General features: G+C 40.8%; 1 protein-coding gene across 4 annotated transcripts in view; it reads right to left on the bottom strand.

Moving 5' to 3' along the window:
* DOK5 (docking protein 5) overlaps nt 1–18,496 on the bottom strand; it is a 175,577-nt gene extending 157,081 nt beyond the window's left edge. For 2 of the 4 annotated variants that reach the window (NM_018431.5, NM_001294161.2), the window contains exon 1: nt 18,077–18,496. In NM_018431.5, coding sequence (NP_060901.2) covers nt 18,077–18,142 — 66 coding nt within the window. In that variant the 5' untranslated portion in view covers nt 18,143–18,496. Of the gene's footprint in view, nt 1–17,903; nt 18,024–18,076 lie in introns of those variants that run through there. The other 2 variants (NM_177959.3, XM_011528904.2) reach the window with 2 other exon arrangements.
* Nucleotides 18,497–18,946: the final 450 nt, after the last annotated feature.

Below are 18,946 nucleotides of genomic sequence, written 5' to 3'. Positions count from 1 at the left end.
CAGGCTAGTGAGGCTAAAATCATCAAAACAACACTCTCAAAACAAGTATTTTTAAATAGCCATGAGTATTATGAAGAAGTAATATAGGGAAGCACTGTCCAATAGAATTCTCTACAATTATAGAAATATTTAATTTTTAATTTTTATTTTGAGACTTGGTCTCAGTCTGTCACCCAGGCTGGAGTGCAGTGGCATGATCATGGCTCACTGCAGCCTCCAACTCCTGGGCCTAAATGATCCTCCCACCTCAGCCTCCTGAGTAGTTAGGAGTACAGGTGCCAGCCACCACACCCAACAAAGTTTTTTTAATTTTTGTAGAGACGAGGGTCTCGTTATGTTGCCCAGGTTTGTCTCAATCTCCTGGCCTCAAGCAATCCTCCCACCTCAGCCTCCCAAAGTGCTGGGATTACAGGACTGAGCCACCGCATTCAGCCTAGAAAAATATCTGTGTTGTCCAATATGGTAGCCACTGATGACTATGTACGTGGCTATTTATCACTTAAAATGTGGCTAGTGTGACTAAGGATTGGGTTTTTAAGTTTATATTTAATTTTAATTAAATTTACATGTCCACATGTAGCATGTGGCTACCCCTACCATTTAGACTGGGATATGTCAGAAAAAGATTTCCTGGATTTTCAAGATGAGCAGTAATTAGAGAAACTAAGAGTAAGGGGAAGAACTTGCTAGTCAATAGGAAGAGCACATATAAGGATGGTGACAAAGGAAAGCGCGTGCCTACTGGAGGAACTAAAGGTGGTGTGTTGGGCTCATGCACTGATTTTGGGTAGTATGGTGTGACACAGCGAGTGAACGCAGCAGGCTCTGGGTCACACAGTGTCCTGAGTACATTTCAGAGATATTCATGTGCAAGGGGAAGGCACAGGAAAGTTGTAAGAAAGGTAGGATAGAATTAGATTCAATTTTTAGGTAATCAATTTGCCATAAAGGGAACAGATTTGGGGAGTGGGGGATTGAGCCAAGGAGCAGAGGGACAAACACATCCCTTTTTTTTTTTTTTTTTTTTTTGGAGGGGGACAGAGTCTCACTCTGTTGCCCAGGCTGGAGTGCAGTGGCTCAGTCTCAGCTCACTGCAACCTCCGCCTCCTGGGGCCAAGCAATTCTCCTGCCTCAGCCTTTCGAGTAACTGGGATTACAGGCGCCCGCCACCACTCCTGGCTAACTTTTTTTATTTTTAGTAGAGACAGGGTTTCACTATGTTAGCCAGGCTGATCTTGAACTCCTGACCTCAAGTGATCCACCCCCCTTGGCCTCCCAAAGTGTTGGGATTACAGGCGTGAGCCACCGCACCTGGCCAAGAACATCCTTTAAAAAGTTGTTCTCTCTGTTACCTCTGATCCTAAAACACACACACACACACACACACACACACACACACACAAAGCCACACTCTTACAAGCACTCTTTACCAGAGTGTACCTGGTACAACCTCTTTGAAGAAAATTTGTTTTATTCCTCAAAAGTGTAAATGTACACAACTGTGTAAGAGTAACTCTTTTTTTTAGGACTTATCTTAGAAATACAGTATCATGTATGCGTGAGTGTATACCCAAGGATGTCACTACCTCATTGTTTATATAGCAAAACCTGGAAACTACCTAAAAATGTCCATTGTTAGTGGACTACATTAAAGAAATTGTGACATAGAAAAAAATGAATATTGACCATTCATAAAAATTTTTGAAAAGTGTTTCAACATACGTTAAAAGGGACAAAGTATATAATAGGATTGTATAATATGAACCCATGTGTGTAAAACAAATTATATATATACACACAAGTACACGCACTTTTATGCTTGCCTCTAATAAACGTCTCTGTACTAATATACAAGAATCTGCTAAGAATGACTAACCCCAGGAAGTGAGACCAGTCTGGGGTTGGAGAAAATTTTTCTCTTCATTCTATCCTTTTTTGCATTGTTTTCTTTCTCTACCATGTATATGTAATATAAAATACTGGTTAAATTAAAAGAATTTATATATATGACATATGAATTTATATATATGATATATATGTCATATATACATATGATATCCTTTGTTGTAGATAGAGTGGGTCCATTTTCTTTCTTTCCCTCCCTTTGTCTTTCTTTCTTTTTCTCTTTCTTTCACTTTCTCTCTCTTTTTCTCTCTTTCTTTCATTTTTTGCCATTCTTTGCCAGAAATTAAACTCTGCTTTTTCTAATATGAGATCACTCTTGGAATCCAAAGTAAAGAATACATTCAGTTGTTTGGGATCTGATACAAGTCATGGTAATTTTGGAGAAAAATCCCAAGTTTTCTCAGCTATTTTCCACTCAGGAAGCCAATGGTGGGATGCTGCGGAGACCCACTTGGGACTGAATAGAATGTTTCGGGTACTTGAGATGCTCTTCACAACCACAGTCACCCTTCCTGTGCAGAGGTGAACAGCTGGTGGGGGAAGGAGGGCAGGCATTTCCGTCTCCATCTTCCGCAGCGGAAGCCGAGGTGTAAGCAGTTCAGTGACATGGTCTGCTCATAGCAGATGGCCGGCAGTAGGACAGGGGTGAAAATTGGGCCCTTCTCACCCTGGCCAGGTTTCTCTTCTACCAGTTTGGCCTGTCCTGGGGACTGCAGCTGCGATACTGCAAAAAGGCTACAAGAATCAAGAATCACACAATAGAATTCCACAAACCTTTTGGAATTTCTTGACATATATGAATATGAGTATGTATTCTATGCTAGGGTGACTTGCCTCTTTCATAATTTAACATGCAAGATGTTATTTCAGGTTTTCAATTATTCACTTAAATATTTATTGAGCACCTACTGTGTGCTCAGATACTATTCTAGCCACTAAGAATTCAGCCATGAACAAAACAGAAAAAGACCCGCTCAGTGCTTGTGGTTACTAGAAGAAACAAGCAACAAAGAAATGAATAATTTAAGAAATCATTACAGTTGTGAGGCATGATTCTGCATGCAATTAAAAAGGAGTGAGACAGAGAATACCTGAAGGAGACCACCTAAGATTGGATGGTCAAACAGTTCCCTGGGCAGGGGACTTTTGACCTGACAATGAAGTCAGAGCCTGCCATGGAAGAACGTTACTGACAAAGGGAAGCGTGAGATGGCAAAGACATGGACGGAAAAGAGTTCACCATTTGAAGAGTGAAAAGTAGATGCTATAGCCAGAGCTTAGAGAGAAAGGAAAAGAGGCTGGGCGCGGTGGCTCACGCCTGTAATCCCAGCACTTTGGGAGGCCGTGGTGGGCGGATCACAAGGTCAAGAGATCGAGACCATCTTGGCCAACATGGTGAAACCCCATCTCTACTAAAAATACAAAAATTAGCTGGGCGTGGTGGCATGCGCCTGTAGTCCCAGCTACTTACTCGGGAGGCTGAGGCAGGAGAATTGCTTGAACACGGGAGGCGGAGGTTGCCATGAGCCAATATCGTGCCACTGCACTCCAGCCTGGTGACACAGCAAGACTCCGTCTCAAAAAATAAAAATAAGAGAGAAAGGAAAAAAGAGGCTCAAGATACCAGATACCCAGGAACAACATAAATGCAACATTCAGAAATTATATCTAGCACTCAGTACAAAGATTCACATCATCCCCTACCCTCCCACTCCTGCCACATGGCTAGACACACTTGAAGCATTTTATAAGATTGACCAAGAATATAGACTGAGCTGTATTAATGAATATGTATTTATCTGATTAAATTTAAAATATATGTATGTATATACGTATGTATATGTATATATGTATCATTTCATTCAACATAATATTTATCAAAAGTGCAAATTCATAATTTAATTTTTAGAGAAAAAATACAGTAACAGTTAACATATAATTTATCCTATCTTTTAGGTAAAAGATTTCCATTGAGCCATTTCCCAGGAAGGTGTGTTTTAAGACAGTAAATTATGATTTATATGTTTGTAAATGCTCACTAAATAACTACTTTTTGAGTTGAGTAAATATTACTCTTAAAAGAAAAAAGCCTGCACAACTGAAAAGATTCTAATTATAAAATGCCTTGAAACTCAGCCACAAGTTAGGGAAATCTATACACAAATGAGTCCATTTCTCACCTCGTAGACTAGCAAAACGTTGAAAAGGCTCTCAGGCCTAATGTGACAAAATGAGAGGAAATGGGCTTTCTTGTCCACTGCTGGAGAACATCCTCCAAAGCAACTTTCATGAAATTCTACATGTGAATACCCTTGGAACAATAAGTCCCACTTCTAAGAATTTATTCACCTTCAGGCTCTCCAATGGGTATGATGAGGGGTGGTCTATAGCACTGTTTGTAACAGAGGAAAAAAAATGGATTTACCCCAATGTTCCATGAAAGAGATAGACGTTGGATTCGAACCCAGGTTCTTACACATAAGGCTGTGTGAGCTGGCCAAAAACTGAACCTCTTAGTATCTCAGTTTCATAATTTGTAAAATGGGCATAAAATAACACCTACTTTATGCACATATTTAACAAAAAAAAGGAAGGAAGGAAAGAAGAATAAATAAATAATCAAATAAAATATATAAGATATATCCATACAGGGGAATCCTATCGAATTATTCAAAACTATGATATATCACTAAATAAGAAATCCATGGCTCAGAAGACTATATAAGTATAAATTGCATGCAAACGCACATACAGACACACACATGCACACAAGCCCACACACACACAAAACTACTTATATATAGACTATTCTGGAAGAGACTATTCACAGTGGTTGCTTCTGAAAAAGGGAACGAGATGATTCTAGGAAATGGAGATGAAAGGAAACTCTACTCTTTGGTGTATAAACTTTGTATCCTCGAATTTTGTACCAAGGGTACATATTACCTACTCCAAAAGAATTCAAATAAAATTTAATTTTAATGGAGTAAATCCAAACCTTTGATATTAACTGCTGTATTTCCTGATGATGAATTTGCAGATTATATATAAACAACTATGAGAAATTCTAAAATGTTCTACTGTTCAGAAGAGAATCTACTGCAAAATGAGATGGGATATAGGCACAGTTTTCTATTTGTCTTCTTACATCTGAATACACCATTCCATTCTTCTGACAGGAAGTAAAACCATTCATCCATTCAATCAACAAATATTGAGAATTTACTAAGGACTACGACCTGGGGATACAGCAGTGAACAAGATAGCCAAAGTCCCTGGCCTCAGAGAACTTACTGTCAGATGTAAATAATTTGTAAAATGGGCATAAAATAACACCTACTTCATGCACATATTTAATAATAAAAGGAAGGAAGGAAGGAAGGTAGGAAGGGAGGGAGGGACGAGGGGAGGGAGGGGAGGGGTAGGGAAAGAGGGAGGGAGGGAGGAAAAGCACATAAGCAAATAATATATGGAAGGGAGGGAGGGAAGGAAGGAAAGAAGGAAGGAGGGAAGGAAAAATACATAAGCAAATAATATATGTAAGATAAAACTTATGTCTCTTAGAGTAAGTTCTATGAGGCCAGGGACTTGGCTATCTTGTTCATTCCCTCTCTTACAGAAGAAAAACAAACAAGAAAAAAATGTATATAGAAACAGAGAAACAGAAAGAGAAGAGAAATAAATGGCACAAAATAAAGAAAAATTGTTAAGTTCTATACATGGATTTAAATTACGTGATGTTCTAGAAGGATGTGAGGAGTCAACTTAAATGTTGTAGTCAAGGCAAGTCATTCTGAGGAAGGAATATGGATGCCAAGAGACAGCCAGCCAGGAGAAAATCAGACGTTAAGAGCAACCAGTTAATGGAGAAGATGGATTCAAACCAGTGAAGACTTCTCCAAGAGGACAAACTCTCTGGGAAGGGTTGCTATCCAATCTCACTTTACACCACACTGAATTAATGGATGCTGAAGACTAGACTACGTTCGTGATAACTTCCAGATTTGAGGCCACTGTTGGTGGAATGGAACCCAGACTCAAAAAGTGGCTCTTACACAGATTAGCCAACATATCTGCACTTTGGTAGACAGAAACCTGGAAACTGAGAAATTAGTATAAAGAGTCAATTTTGCTAGGGGATTCAAAGAAGTATGATTTCTTAAAAGTTTGGAAAATAAATTTCTTTTATTGAATGAATGTATGGTGTTAAGATAATAAAATGAATTCTAAGAGTTGAATTGCTCTTCTAAACATGGAAACTTGTATTAAATAAAAGAGTTAGTCCATTGACGAGACTTGCTAGTTTCTCTTTCTGTTAATCACAGCAGTATCCATTGTACATCCGAATGAAGGGAAGAAAAAATAAGGGCTTGGGCAAAACCAAAATAAGGTTGTACAGTTTTTGGGGGGTGAGAAGTGACATATACATGGTGATATCAGAGGAAAGTCTTGTAAGAGGATGGTATTGGGTACATGGGAGTTTTTTCCCTAAGCACCTAATTTTTAAGTTATTTATATAAAATGATGACATTTGGCGGCTATAAGTAAAGAAATTTTAGAAAACCTATTTTAAAAAATAAGTACACTGGTCTGCAGTTTCCCACACTTCAGTCCTGCACCCTTTGGATTTGCACTGCGTCTGTGTACCACCACCTACCTCCAAAATTTTTGTCACTGCATGGTCATATAATACCTGCACTGTAAGTTAACATTAATTAAGTTACTTTGCTTTTTTAAATAAATAAGCTTTATTTAAAGAGGAAGCACACATTCTTATCTGAAATTGGAAACCAGTATCACTTGAGAGAAAATGTCAAATTTAACATAATATAAAGTTAATCAGTGCAATGAAACATGACGCTGTGAGCTGAACACTCTGCACCTAAGTCAGGATGGTCCTCTCTAGGAAAAGACCTAGTAGTCACCAACTCTTTGAGTTATGTTGGACAATAAATAATACTTTTTCTCATTTTATGATTGAATGCTGTTTACTACCCTAAAATTATCTCTCCAGATATATAAATCTCACATTTGGACAAAGCTGTTAGAGTTAATAGGCAAAAATACTGTGGCCAGTCTTATAATCAAAGTTCTGCCATTTTGGCTAATATATTCAAGTCTTTATGTTCTAAGATAGGATTTCACTGGAGGCTCCTAAATAAACCCAATATTACAAAAATATATCATAGAAGACAACAGCAAGAGGAAGATAGAATGCAACCTTTTTTTTTATTATCAAAAACATGACTCTTCCGCTGGAATATGAGTGAATTAATTTCCACCAAGGCCATGGTTCTCACAGACAATAAACTAAAAATATCATTTCAACCTCTTACCAATAAAAAATAAAAATCAATAGTATGACTCACTGAGTTTCTACTATGAGTCAGGCACAGGATTAAGAGCCTGGTATATTCATCTTTCGTATATTATCCTCATTTTTCATATATAAGTAAGGTAAAGATCAGAAAGAGTAAGCAATTTTCCCTAAGGCTACAGAGCCAATAAGCGGCCAAGCTGAGACCCAAACTAAAGTGTGAGTCTCAAACTTCTGCTATTTCCACCACAAAAATAAACTAATGCACCAATTAAATCGTGTGTGTGTGTGTGTGCATGTGTGTGTGTGTAAAATGAGAAAGTATCCCAGAAAGATTTCTAGTAGTTATAGACATTATTTTAAAATTTATATTAAAAGGTAAAGGAACTAGAATAGCTAAAACAATTTTGAAAAAGAATAAACTGAGAGGGATCAGTGTGCCCTATTTCAAGACTTATTGTATAGTTACAAATACAGACATATATAGACATATATGTCTATATATACAAATACAGACATATATAGACATATATAGACATATCACTGTACATATATAAGGCATATAGAACAATGGAACAGAATAGAGGACCCAGGCGAAGACATGAAAATGCTCAATGAAGAAAAGACAACCTTTTCAAAAAAGTGCTGGAGTAACTGTACATCCATAGGCATAACCTTGACCTGAAATGCACACCTTATACAAAAATTACTCAAAATGGGTGATGGACTTAAATATAAAAGATAAAACTATAAAACTTACAAAAAAAATTGAAACATCTTCAGGATATTAGGCTGACAAGACAAGACTGAAAGAAGATACTTGCAAACCACTTATCTAAAAGGGATTGATATCTAGAATATATGAAGAACTTTCAAAACTCAACCGTTAAAAAATAAGCAATCCAGGCATTTTACTGACATGGACGGCAAACAGGAACATGAAAAGATGCTCAACATTGCTACCCTTTACAAAAATGCAAATTAAAACCACAATAAGATACCACGACACATCTAGAAGAATGGCTAAGATAAAACACAGTGATGACACCAAATGCTGGCAAAGATGCAGAAAAACCGATTCACTCACACATTGCTAATGTGAATGTAAAATGGTACAACTGTGAGAAAACGGTTCAGCAGTTTCTTTAAAAACTAGACACAACTACTCTACAACCCAGCAATTGCACTCCTGGACATTTGCCTAGAGGCACGAAAACGTATGTTCACGTGAAAACCTCTACACAAATGCTTATATGAGTATATCAGCTTCATTCATGATAGCCAAAAACCAGAAACAACCCATGTCCTTCGACAGGTGAGTGTCTAAACAAACTACGGTACCTATTGTACATACACACCATGGTACACTACTCAGCAAGAAAAAAGAACAAACTTATACACACAACAACCTGAACGAATCTCAGGGGATTATATTGAGTTTTAAAAAAGCCAATCCCCAAACATTACATACTGTATGGTTCTTTTACATTACATTCTTTTTTTTTTTTTTTTTGAGACGGAGTCTTACTCTTGTCACCCAGGCTGGAGTGCAATGGCACGATCTCAGCTCACTGCAACCTCCGCCGCTCACTGCAACCTCCGCCGCTCACTGCAACCTCCGCCATCCGGGTTCAAGTGATTCTCCTGCCTCAGCCTCCTGAGTAGCTCTCCACCATGCCCGACTAATTTTTGTATTTTTAGTAGAGACAGTGTTTCACCATGTTGATCAGGCTGGTCACCAACTCCCGACCTTGTGATCTGCCCGCCTCGGCCTCCCAAAGTGCTGGGATTACAGGCGTGAGCCATCATGCCCAGCCTACATAATATTCTTTTTAAAAAATTCTGAGACAGAGTCTCATCTTGCTCTGTCGTTCAGGCTGAAGTATAGTAGTATGATCAGAGTTCACTGCAGCCTCAACCTCCCAGGGTCAAGTGATCATCCCACTTCAACCTCTCAAATAACCAGCACTACAGGCGTGTACCACCACACCTGGCTAATTTTCTATTTTTATTTTTTGTAGAGACAGTCTCACTATGTTGCCTGAGACTAGTCTCAAACTTCTGGGCTCAAGTGGCCCTTCTGCCTTGGCCTCCCAAAGTCCTGGGATGACAGGAACAAGCCACCAAGCCTGGACTCCATTTACATAATATTCTTGAAATGACAAAATGACAAAAGGAAAACAGATTAGTGGTTGTCAGGGGATTAGGGATATGGAGGACAGGGGCAGGAGGGGCAGCTATATAAGAAGACTGTGAAGGATCCTCCAGGGGATGAAATGTTCTATATCTTAATTGTATCATTGTCAATATATTGGTTGTTATATTGTCCTACAAATTTGAAAGATGTTACCATTGGGGGGAAAGTGGTTAAAGGGCATGGAATATCTCTCCATATTATTTCTTACAACTACATATGAACATAACAATTATCTAAAAATAAAACTTCAATTAAAATAATGAAATATTGATCTTAACTTTTTTTTTTTTGAGATGAAGTCTTGCTCTTTTTCCCCAGGCTGGAGTGCAGTGGCGCAATCTCGGCTCAATGCAACCTCCACCTCCTGGGTTCAAGGGATTCTCCTGCCTCGGCCCCCTGAGTAGCTGGGATTACAGGCACCTGCCACCATGCCCAGCTAATTTTTGTATTTTTAGTAGAGACAGGGTTTCACCATGTTGGCCAGGCTGGTCTAGAACTCCTGACCTCGGGTGATCCACCCGCCTCGGCCTCCCAAAGTGCTGGGATTACAGACGTGAGCCACCACACCCAACCTGATCTTAATCTTTAAGAAGGCATAGCAGGTGGAAAGTGGGAGAGGCTGGGGCAGGGAGGACCAGACTTCTCTAAGAATCTCATACAAGCTGCAAAGCATTGTCTCAGAAAAGTCACCTGCATCCTCTCACTGGAGCCTAGTTAACAACTCGGCTTAAGAACACAAGACAACCAGTTAACAATTTTGTTCTCTGGGATCCAGGGCATAAACAGAGGGTGAGAACACTAGTGAAATAAAGGCAGCCCCCACAACTGCTCTGCAAAAATCAGCTTCCAAATACTTATCCAAAATGTAGCCATCTGCATTCTAGAAAGAAGCTATTTTAATTTAAACATTCACATATATCATGTGGCATTTCTAAACTCACAATTTTATTTTGAATTTCACAGGAACGGGGGGGTCGCACCATAATCTCTTCAAGGCTTAGAATCTCCAAAGGTTTAATTTCCACCCTACTAGGATCAAATTCCTAGAGTAAGAGAAAAATCAAATTTGCCCTTCCTCATTTCACAAAAATAGAATAGAAAAATATCCTCAGGCATCTTTTCACTTCAATATTTGACCTGTTACTCAGATTAATTCCTCTTTAACTATAGTGAATACATTAATCTCTTGTTAATAATACAAATCAAAAATTAAATTGTCAACTCCTTGAGGATGGTGATTGTATCTGCCTTATTTAAGGTGGTTAACACTAATAGGTACTCAAGAAATATTTGAGGAATGATAAAACAAATGGAAGAAAATATATTCCAATGAAAACTAAGTTCTTAAAATACCAAACGATTCCCCACAAAAATTACAAAGCTGCTTTAAAAATAAATATTTCTAGTCTTCTAATAAATATGATTTCAAAAATACATTGGCAGATGTGGGGACAATCATATCACTAATTTGGTTTATGTCTATATACAAAGTCACTAAATTGGCCACTCTGCTTAAATCAGTTTTGGGGATGATGATGTAAAGGCTGACTTTATGCACAATTAATCGTCTCATCCACATGGACAATCAGATGAAGACGACTGAAATACCAGCTGGAAAGCCCTTCTGACATGGAAACCATGTCAATGAAGCTGATTCAAATGAAGCCAAAATAACTGAGTCGTCCCAGCTGATGCATGTATATATATGCAGTCTATCTGGCCATAAATTTCCCTACTGGTAAAGTTATCCCAAAGCCTCTTGTTCTTAAAGAGTAACTAAACTTCACATATCTTACTGAATAGTTGCATGAGTTCATATGTGCATATATGTGCATGTGCATACATATACTTAAATAACAATAGCATATGATGAGGCCGGGCACGGTGGCTCACGCCTGTAATCCCAGCACTTTGGGAGGCTGAAACGGGTGGATCACCAGAAGTCAGGCATACAAGGCCAGCCTGGCCAACATGGTGAAACCCTGTCTCTACTAAAAATACCAAAATTAGCCAACTGTGGTGACATGTGCCTGTAGTCCCAGCTACTCAAGAGGCTGAGGCAGGAGAATTGATTGAACCCAGGAGATGGAGGCTGCAAGTGAGCCGAGATCACACCAGGACACTCCAGCCTAGGCAGCAGAGCGAGACTCCATCTCAAAAGGAAAAAAAAGGAGTATATGAGTTTATTCTATCTGTATAATTTTCATACTACGATTATGACTTTGTCATGGTACCATAAAAAATGCATGGATTCCTGAACATCTAAATCTAAAATCCTCAAATGAAACATGAAAGCGTTTGTGGCATACCAGGTCAGGTGAAACTATAAAATGAAAGAATTAGAAAATGTTTATTTTTAAAACCTGGCCGTGAGCTGACCAATTTTTAAAATTTCTTCTCTACCACAAAAGAAAACAGTCCCCAAGTTAACAAAAATACCTCCTAGTCCAGTGAATTCACTCGAATTGGAGTTACATGAAGAGGCATTTCTCCTTATTTTATATCTCTACCATTTGTGTAGAATCATAAAAAATCTTATAAAGGCGAAATCTTATAAATTCCTTCTGTATCAACCATCAATGCCAAGCAACATTTGGTACTTGTACTAAGTTTGTTTTCCTAACTAAAAAACAAGTTCTTTGAGGATATGAACAATTGCAGTAGAAACAGTGAAATAATAACCAGTTAAGTGTCATTGTCTCTAACCACACTGGAAGTAGGAGTGAGAGCCCTAATAAACATTAATTGGGTTTTTACTGTGTCAAGCACTGTGTTAAGCTCTTTATGATCATCATCTATTAGGTGAGTAGTAAGAGTCTCCATATTTTTACAGAAGATGGAGGCTTATAAATATTAAATAACTCACCAGAAGTCACATAACCAGCCAGTGAGTTGGGATTTTAACGCAGTCACATGTCAGAGCCTATGCTCTTAAGCCACAACACAGTGATGGGGTCATTAATTTATTCCACAAATCTTCATCAAATGCCCACTCTGTGCTGGGCCCTGCACTAGGCACTGGGGGACAGCTATGATTAAAGAAGAGAGAAACAAGTCCCAGCCCTCATGTAGCTTCACATGTCCTTGGCAGTACATAGGCAATACAAAGATAAATGAAGGAGAGGGTAATAAGTCTAGGGAGAAAAAGGGGCAGGGAAAGAAGGAAAGGAGAGGGAGAAGAAATAAAATAGAGTGGTCTGAGGCCGGGCACGGTGGCTCACGCCTGTAATCCCAGCACTTTTAGGAGGCCGAGGCTTGTGGATCTCAAGGTCAGGAGTTCGACACCAGCCTGGCCAACATGGTGAAACCCTGTCTCTATTAAAAATATAAAAATTAGCTGGGTATGGTGGTGCATGCCTGTAATCCCAGCTACTTAGGAGGCTGAGACAGGAGAATTGCTTGAACCCAGGAGGCAGAGGCTGCAGTGAGCTGAGATCACGCCACTACACTCCAGCCTGGAAAAAAGAGCAAGACTCCGCCAAAAAAATATAGATAGATAGATAGATAGATAGATAGATAGATAGATAGATAGATAGATGATAGATACATGATAGATAGATAGATGATAGATAGATAGATGGTAGATGATAGATAGATAGATGATAGATAGATGATAGACAGATGATAGATAGATGATAGATAGATGATAGATAGATAGATGATAGATGATAGATAGATGATAGATGATAGATAGATAGATGATAGATGATAGATAGATGATAGATAGATAGATGATAGATGATTGATAGATAGATAGATAGATAGATGGAGGCCTTAAAGGCCTCATTGAGAGGGTAGGAGCTGAGAAAAGGCTGAAGGAGGTGAGAGAGCAAGCCAGGAGGAGGTAACTGGGGAAACAGCATATTCCAAGCAGAGAAAACAGTGAACGAGAGGGTTCTGGGGCAGCATAGGGCCTCATGGCCCATTGTAAGACTTCTCTGCAGTATATGGAAAGTCACCAATGGTTTTGTTACCAGACAGGGGTTCTCATCCAGACCCCAAGAGAGGGTTCTTGGATCTCTCACAGCAAAGAATTCAGGGCAAGTCTGTAAAGTGAAAGCAAGTTTATTAGGAAAGTAAAGGCATAAAGAATGGCTACTCCATAGACGGAGCAGCCCCGAGGGCTGCTGGTTGCCCATTTTTATGGTTATTTCTTGATGATATGCTAAACAAGGGATGGATTATTCATGCCTCCCCTTTTCAGACCAAGGGTAACTTCCTGACGTTGCCATGGCATCTGTAAACTGTCATAGCACTGGTGGGGGTAGCGCCACGTAGCAGTGAGGAAAACCAGAGGTCACTCTCATGGCCATCTTGGTTTTGGTGGGTTTTGGCTGGCTTCTTTACTGTAAACTGTTTTATCAGCAAGGTCTTTATGACCTGTATCTTGTGCCGACCTCCTATCTCATCCTGTGACTTAGAATGCCTTAACTGTCTGGGAATGTAGCCCAGTAGGTTTCAGTCTTGTTTTACCCAGCTCCTATTCAAGATGGAGTTGCTCTGGTTCACACGCCTCTGACAGCTTCAGCAGCCAGGTGACATGACCTTTCTTACATTTCCAAAGGAACACTTTACTGTATTGAGAAGGCACTAGCGGGAGCAAGAGTGTAGGCAGGAAGTCAAATGAGAAGACTGTTGCAATGTTACAGGGAGGAGATGAGGAGGGTTCGGACCAGGGTCGTAGCAGTGGATAGCGTGAGGTGACAGCCGGATTCTAGATATATTTCAAAGATACAGCCCACAAGATCTCCTGATGGATTGCCTGTAGGGGTGGGAGATGAGGGGAGAAGAGTGAAATGACACCAAGGTTCGCTTGTGATTTTTACCTTCGCAACCAAAATGCTGGGACCTCTAGTGGCTAAGATGGAGAGGACTCTAGGAGCAGCAGGTCTGTGAGTCATCCAAGTGGAGATGTGGGATAGACAGGAGAATTTACATGAGTGGAGGTCAGAAAAGAGGTCCAAGCTGCTAAGTCCTTGGTAGACAAGAGCACAGAAATGTCACTTAAAGGCAAGTAACTGAGGGATTGTGCGTAGATAAATAAACCCGAGTTTCCGTTCTGAAACTTGCACTGTGGGCAAGCCATGACAATGATTGATTGGAAAATCATCTCCATTGCAAGGAAAGAAACGAAGTGAGAATTGTTATATGATGCTATCTAAGTCACACATTCAGCAGGTTAATGTTGTACAAATTGCCTGATTTGCCTCTCCCCTAAAAAGAAATTTTTAGTGCATTTAATCGATTACTCAAATAATTATGGACAGCTGCTCCCCTCCTTCCCCCAGCCCCTCAAATAGTAACGTCGACATTCCTGAACAAATTCAGTACCCAGGGCACAGCTGGAGACCTCCAGGAAACAATGGGGATTAAGCTGGGGAATACAGATGTGAAGATACTGAAACTTTTGAGTTAAATGAATTATATTTCATTAAGCTTTTTGATGTCTAAAGAAGAGAATAAATCTATACATATTTGATTGCTTAATCATTTAAACTCTTTAGGATTTCAAATGAAGGTGACCACTTATCTGTGACCCATTTGAATGGGAATGTTTTTAGAATGTTTCCTGTCCTGTTAAAAAATCACATATATAAATATACGTATATTATATATTATACAATATGTACATAGGTTGTATGTATATATTTATTCCTATGTATAAAAATACACACACATACACATATATGTATATAATTTGTAAAAGTTTCATCCATTGAAAAAATCTGGAGCTGCATAAACATTTATGCCTTTGTACACTTCTACATAGAAAGAGAAGGAAATAGATAATTCCTATATCCGTCTACCAATCCTAACTCATCTTTGATTAAAGAAAATGATACAAGCAGAATCAATGTTCTAGACTTTCATTGCATTTTCACAAATATCTTCTTTAATGCTCCCAAGAACATTAAATAGTGTTCATTGTACAGACTAGGAAACTGAGGCCAAGAAAGGTCAAAGGTCAACAAGCAATAGAAGCAGAATGCGTTCCCTTCTCCTCTTTCTCCAAATCTGAAGAAGCATTTATTCCTTGGCACCAGGAACAGCTGCTTACCATGAAATGTTTTTGTATTTAATTATAAACCGTCCCAAACATGGTCTGGATTCCATTAATAAATGCTGTTGTATTAGTTCCTAAAGGTTATAAATGGCAAGACCATCCATGCACTATATAGTTCAGCACATATTTCAACATGAACTTACCAAGTGTCTACTCTGTGCTAGACAAAATAAATGCCCTACCTCTCTTTGAGACTGGCACATATTCCTAGAAGATACATGTCGCATGCTGTTCTAGACTATATGTAGCCTAGATTAATACCGCTAACATTCCTTACTGTGGACATAGGGTCCCCATGCCAATTCCGTACAGCATCCTTCACCAATATTTGCAGCCTCCATTAAAACTTTGGTTTGCACTGTGTTCTGGCAACTATGTAATCAGCCTCTTTTGTAAATCATACCATAAGAATATTTTAAAAATTAACTGGTGAGAAAACCAATGCTAACAAATAAGACCAGATTTACTTGATCATATTTTTGACCTTTTCTCTCCATGAGCAATAACCATAATTCAATAGATATTCTGAAGTCTGAACGTGAACACAGACAAAAAGAATAAATCTTGAGAAAGTATACTGCTCATTAGCATCCAAAATGCTGTAAAACATAAAACAAATACAAACTAAATATTTCTGTTCCTTCTGCTTCAAATATCTGTCCATAAATGTTGGCACACACATAGGGCTATGTTGTGTCAATTGTAATAATCTAGAAAAAATAATCTCAGTTACCACAAACAAGAAAGTGATGGTAACCAGTTTTTCAAATAAATTACCATGTGTCACAATTTGGCATAAACTCTGATCCTTATGAATAATTCATATTTTGTGCATTAATAATGCATGTCCTCTTCCCATTGGAATGCTCCCTAACACAGAATGGATGTCTCATACCAATTCCTTCCATTGACATGATGGAGTAAAGCTAAATTAGAATGCTGGGTTTTTTTTTTTTTTAACTTAACTCCCCTTAAAATTGTAACACTTGGCCAGCCTATAAGCATACCAAAAATAGAAAGTTCCCATTATTGTTTGCCCCTTACATGGGAGTCACTCAGTAAAGTACCCCCAACAATGGGTGCTCTTGAAGATGAGAATATTTGCATAGCAGAAAAGAAAACCAAGGAAACTTTGGCAGAGCTGATGGAAATGGTGAATTCTGTTACATTTCTCCCTAATTACATATGTATATATTCACAATAACACAGGACATAATCGCTAAAACATGGTCACCAGCAGGGGAGAAAAAGAAAAGAAAAAGACCAAAACGAATTAGGCAAGAGTTTTATAATAATTGCGGATGTTCCTCCCCACAGGGCTTCCCTCCCTAGCTGAGTTTACTACTGTGAAATTTCTTTTCAGTTTTCAGTAAAAGTATCTGGCACATTAAAACAGTCCAAAGACCAAGTAAGAGAAAGATGCCAAATGACACATATTTCTAAAGAAAGCTATTCAATTTACCACTCATTATCAATGGCGGCATTCCACACGATTACTGACATTATACTTATTTCAGGCATTACACCAAAGGATATTTTCTCCCCCCGCCCCCGCCACCTCTCCACCCCCACTTTTCACCCCTTATGTCCAAACGCACAGGATCAACTAAAACAGCGACAACACTTGATAGGAGGCAAAGAGAAATGAGGGACCTAGTTTGAAATTTTTAGGAAATAAAAAAATCGTTCCAGTATCTTCCCTCTCCCTCAAGAATTCTTCCACCATCATTCAGTCCCAAGGAGAGGAAGGGTAGGTTCTCTTTTGAAGCCTCCTCCAGCGAAGAGCCAAGAGAGAAAGGGGCGAAAGAGAGGGAGTTTTAAGGAAGGAGCTAGCCTGTGTCAACATCTGTCCCAAGTGCCCTAAGATTCATTCATTCTTCCTTTCAGGACATATGTAGGGAGCACTTGCGCTATGCCAGGTATCAGGTTCCACGTAAATAACCCTTCCGTGGACCTCCAGGGTGTATTCCAGCAACAGAAATCCACCACCCCGGCTTCGAACCACGGAAAATCCAGATTCAAGTATCTACCCAAGTTGGCCCCGACCAGAGGCCAGCCCGCACCGCCTTTGACACGACACCTGGGACAGAGGTGGGGGGATCCAAAGACACCTTACGCTTGGCAGAAATCTCTCCCTGGGGTCAGAGGGTTCGTGACCTCGTTCACACCGAGTATGCGTGTCCTCTTTCTCAACCAGCCGATCCATCCCCCGGAAAAGTTAAGTTGGCGGCGAGTGGGAAAAGAGGGGAACCGGGGGCATCCGGCAGGCACCCCCGCCCGGGCTTCTCAGCTCCAACTTCCATGGCTACCGAGAAATATTTATTTCGAGTAGATGGGCTCCAGGGGCTACTGAAGCCCAACACGCGGCCACCATCAGAAAGCCAAGTCATCCAAGAGATAAAGATAGATCCATTACATACCTAGACGCTGGCCTTACAGTGACAGCCCCGGAGACGCGGGTTTCGGCTGAGAAAGCCACCGCGCAATTCTCCGGCGCGCGGCCGGGGACTCTCCGTCCACCCTCCAGGGATGCTGGCTCAAGAGAGAGACAATCGAACCGGCGAACAGCAACACGGAGAGGATCGATACTCACCCCGAGGCGTCTGCTCCGGATCCTCACGTACCCTTGCTTCACTATGTCATTAAAATTGGAAGCCATCCCAGACAGCCGGTGACCCCCCCTTTACCCAAGAGCGCGCACCCGAAGTGGCTCTGGGGAGGGTGGAGGGCAGGGTCAAGACAAGCAGTCGGTGGGAGAAAGTTGGAGAGGTGAAGCTGCTTCGGCGGCGCTGGGCGAGGCTTTAGAAGGCGCACATCACTTTCTCTGTCCCCCCAACCCTGACAGTGGGCGGCCGGCTTGCAGCCACTTTCGGGGAGCGCAGAGCGCGGCGCGGGGAGGCGAGGCTGGAGCGCCGGCGTCAGCTGACTCCGCGGCCGGCCTGCCAGGAGGAGGAGCGGCGGCGGCTGAGGGATCCAGCCCTGCCTCCTCCCGGCCGAGAAGGAGGAGAAGAAGGAGGAGGAGGAGGAGGAAGGAGGAGGAGGAAAGAGGAGGAAGGGGTGGGGGGCTAAGAGGAGGAGCCGCGCGAGTCCCAGCACTGGGCTGCGGCCACCCGTGAGCAGCCGCCCTGGAACGCTCCCCGCGCCTCCCACCCACCTTTCCCTCCCCGCTTCCCCTTCCGATCCCTCCCCTCCTGGCGGACCCGGAGCGTGCCCCCGCCACCCCCGCACCTCGCCCACAGCCTACTGAGATAGCGCTCGCTCTCCTCGCTCCAATGACTTATTTTAGGAGGAGAGGAAATTTCACTTTTTTCCAGCCGCCGCCCACCCCGCCTCCCCCTTCAGCCCCTGCCCTTTCCCCGAGAAGGGCCGATTTTGCGTGTGTGTCTGGGGAGATGGTGTTGCCGCGGCTCGCCTTGACCTTGGCATCTGAGGAGAGGGATATTGTCACCGCTTAAGCCAAATG

The sequence above is a fragment of the Homo sapiens genome, chromosome 20 (assembly GCF_000001405.40).
Source record: "Homo sapiens chromosome 20, GRCh38.p14 Primary Assembly".
Classification (NCBI taxonomy): Eukaryota; Metazoa; Chordata; class Mammalia; order Primates; family Hominidae; genus Homo; species Homo sapiens.
Note: the sequence above shows the minus strand (reverse complement) of the source record. Positions and strands in the feature narration are given on the sequence as shown.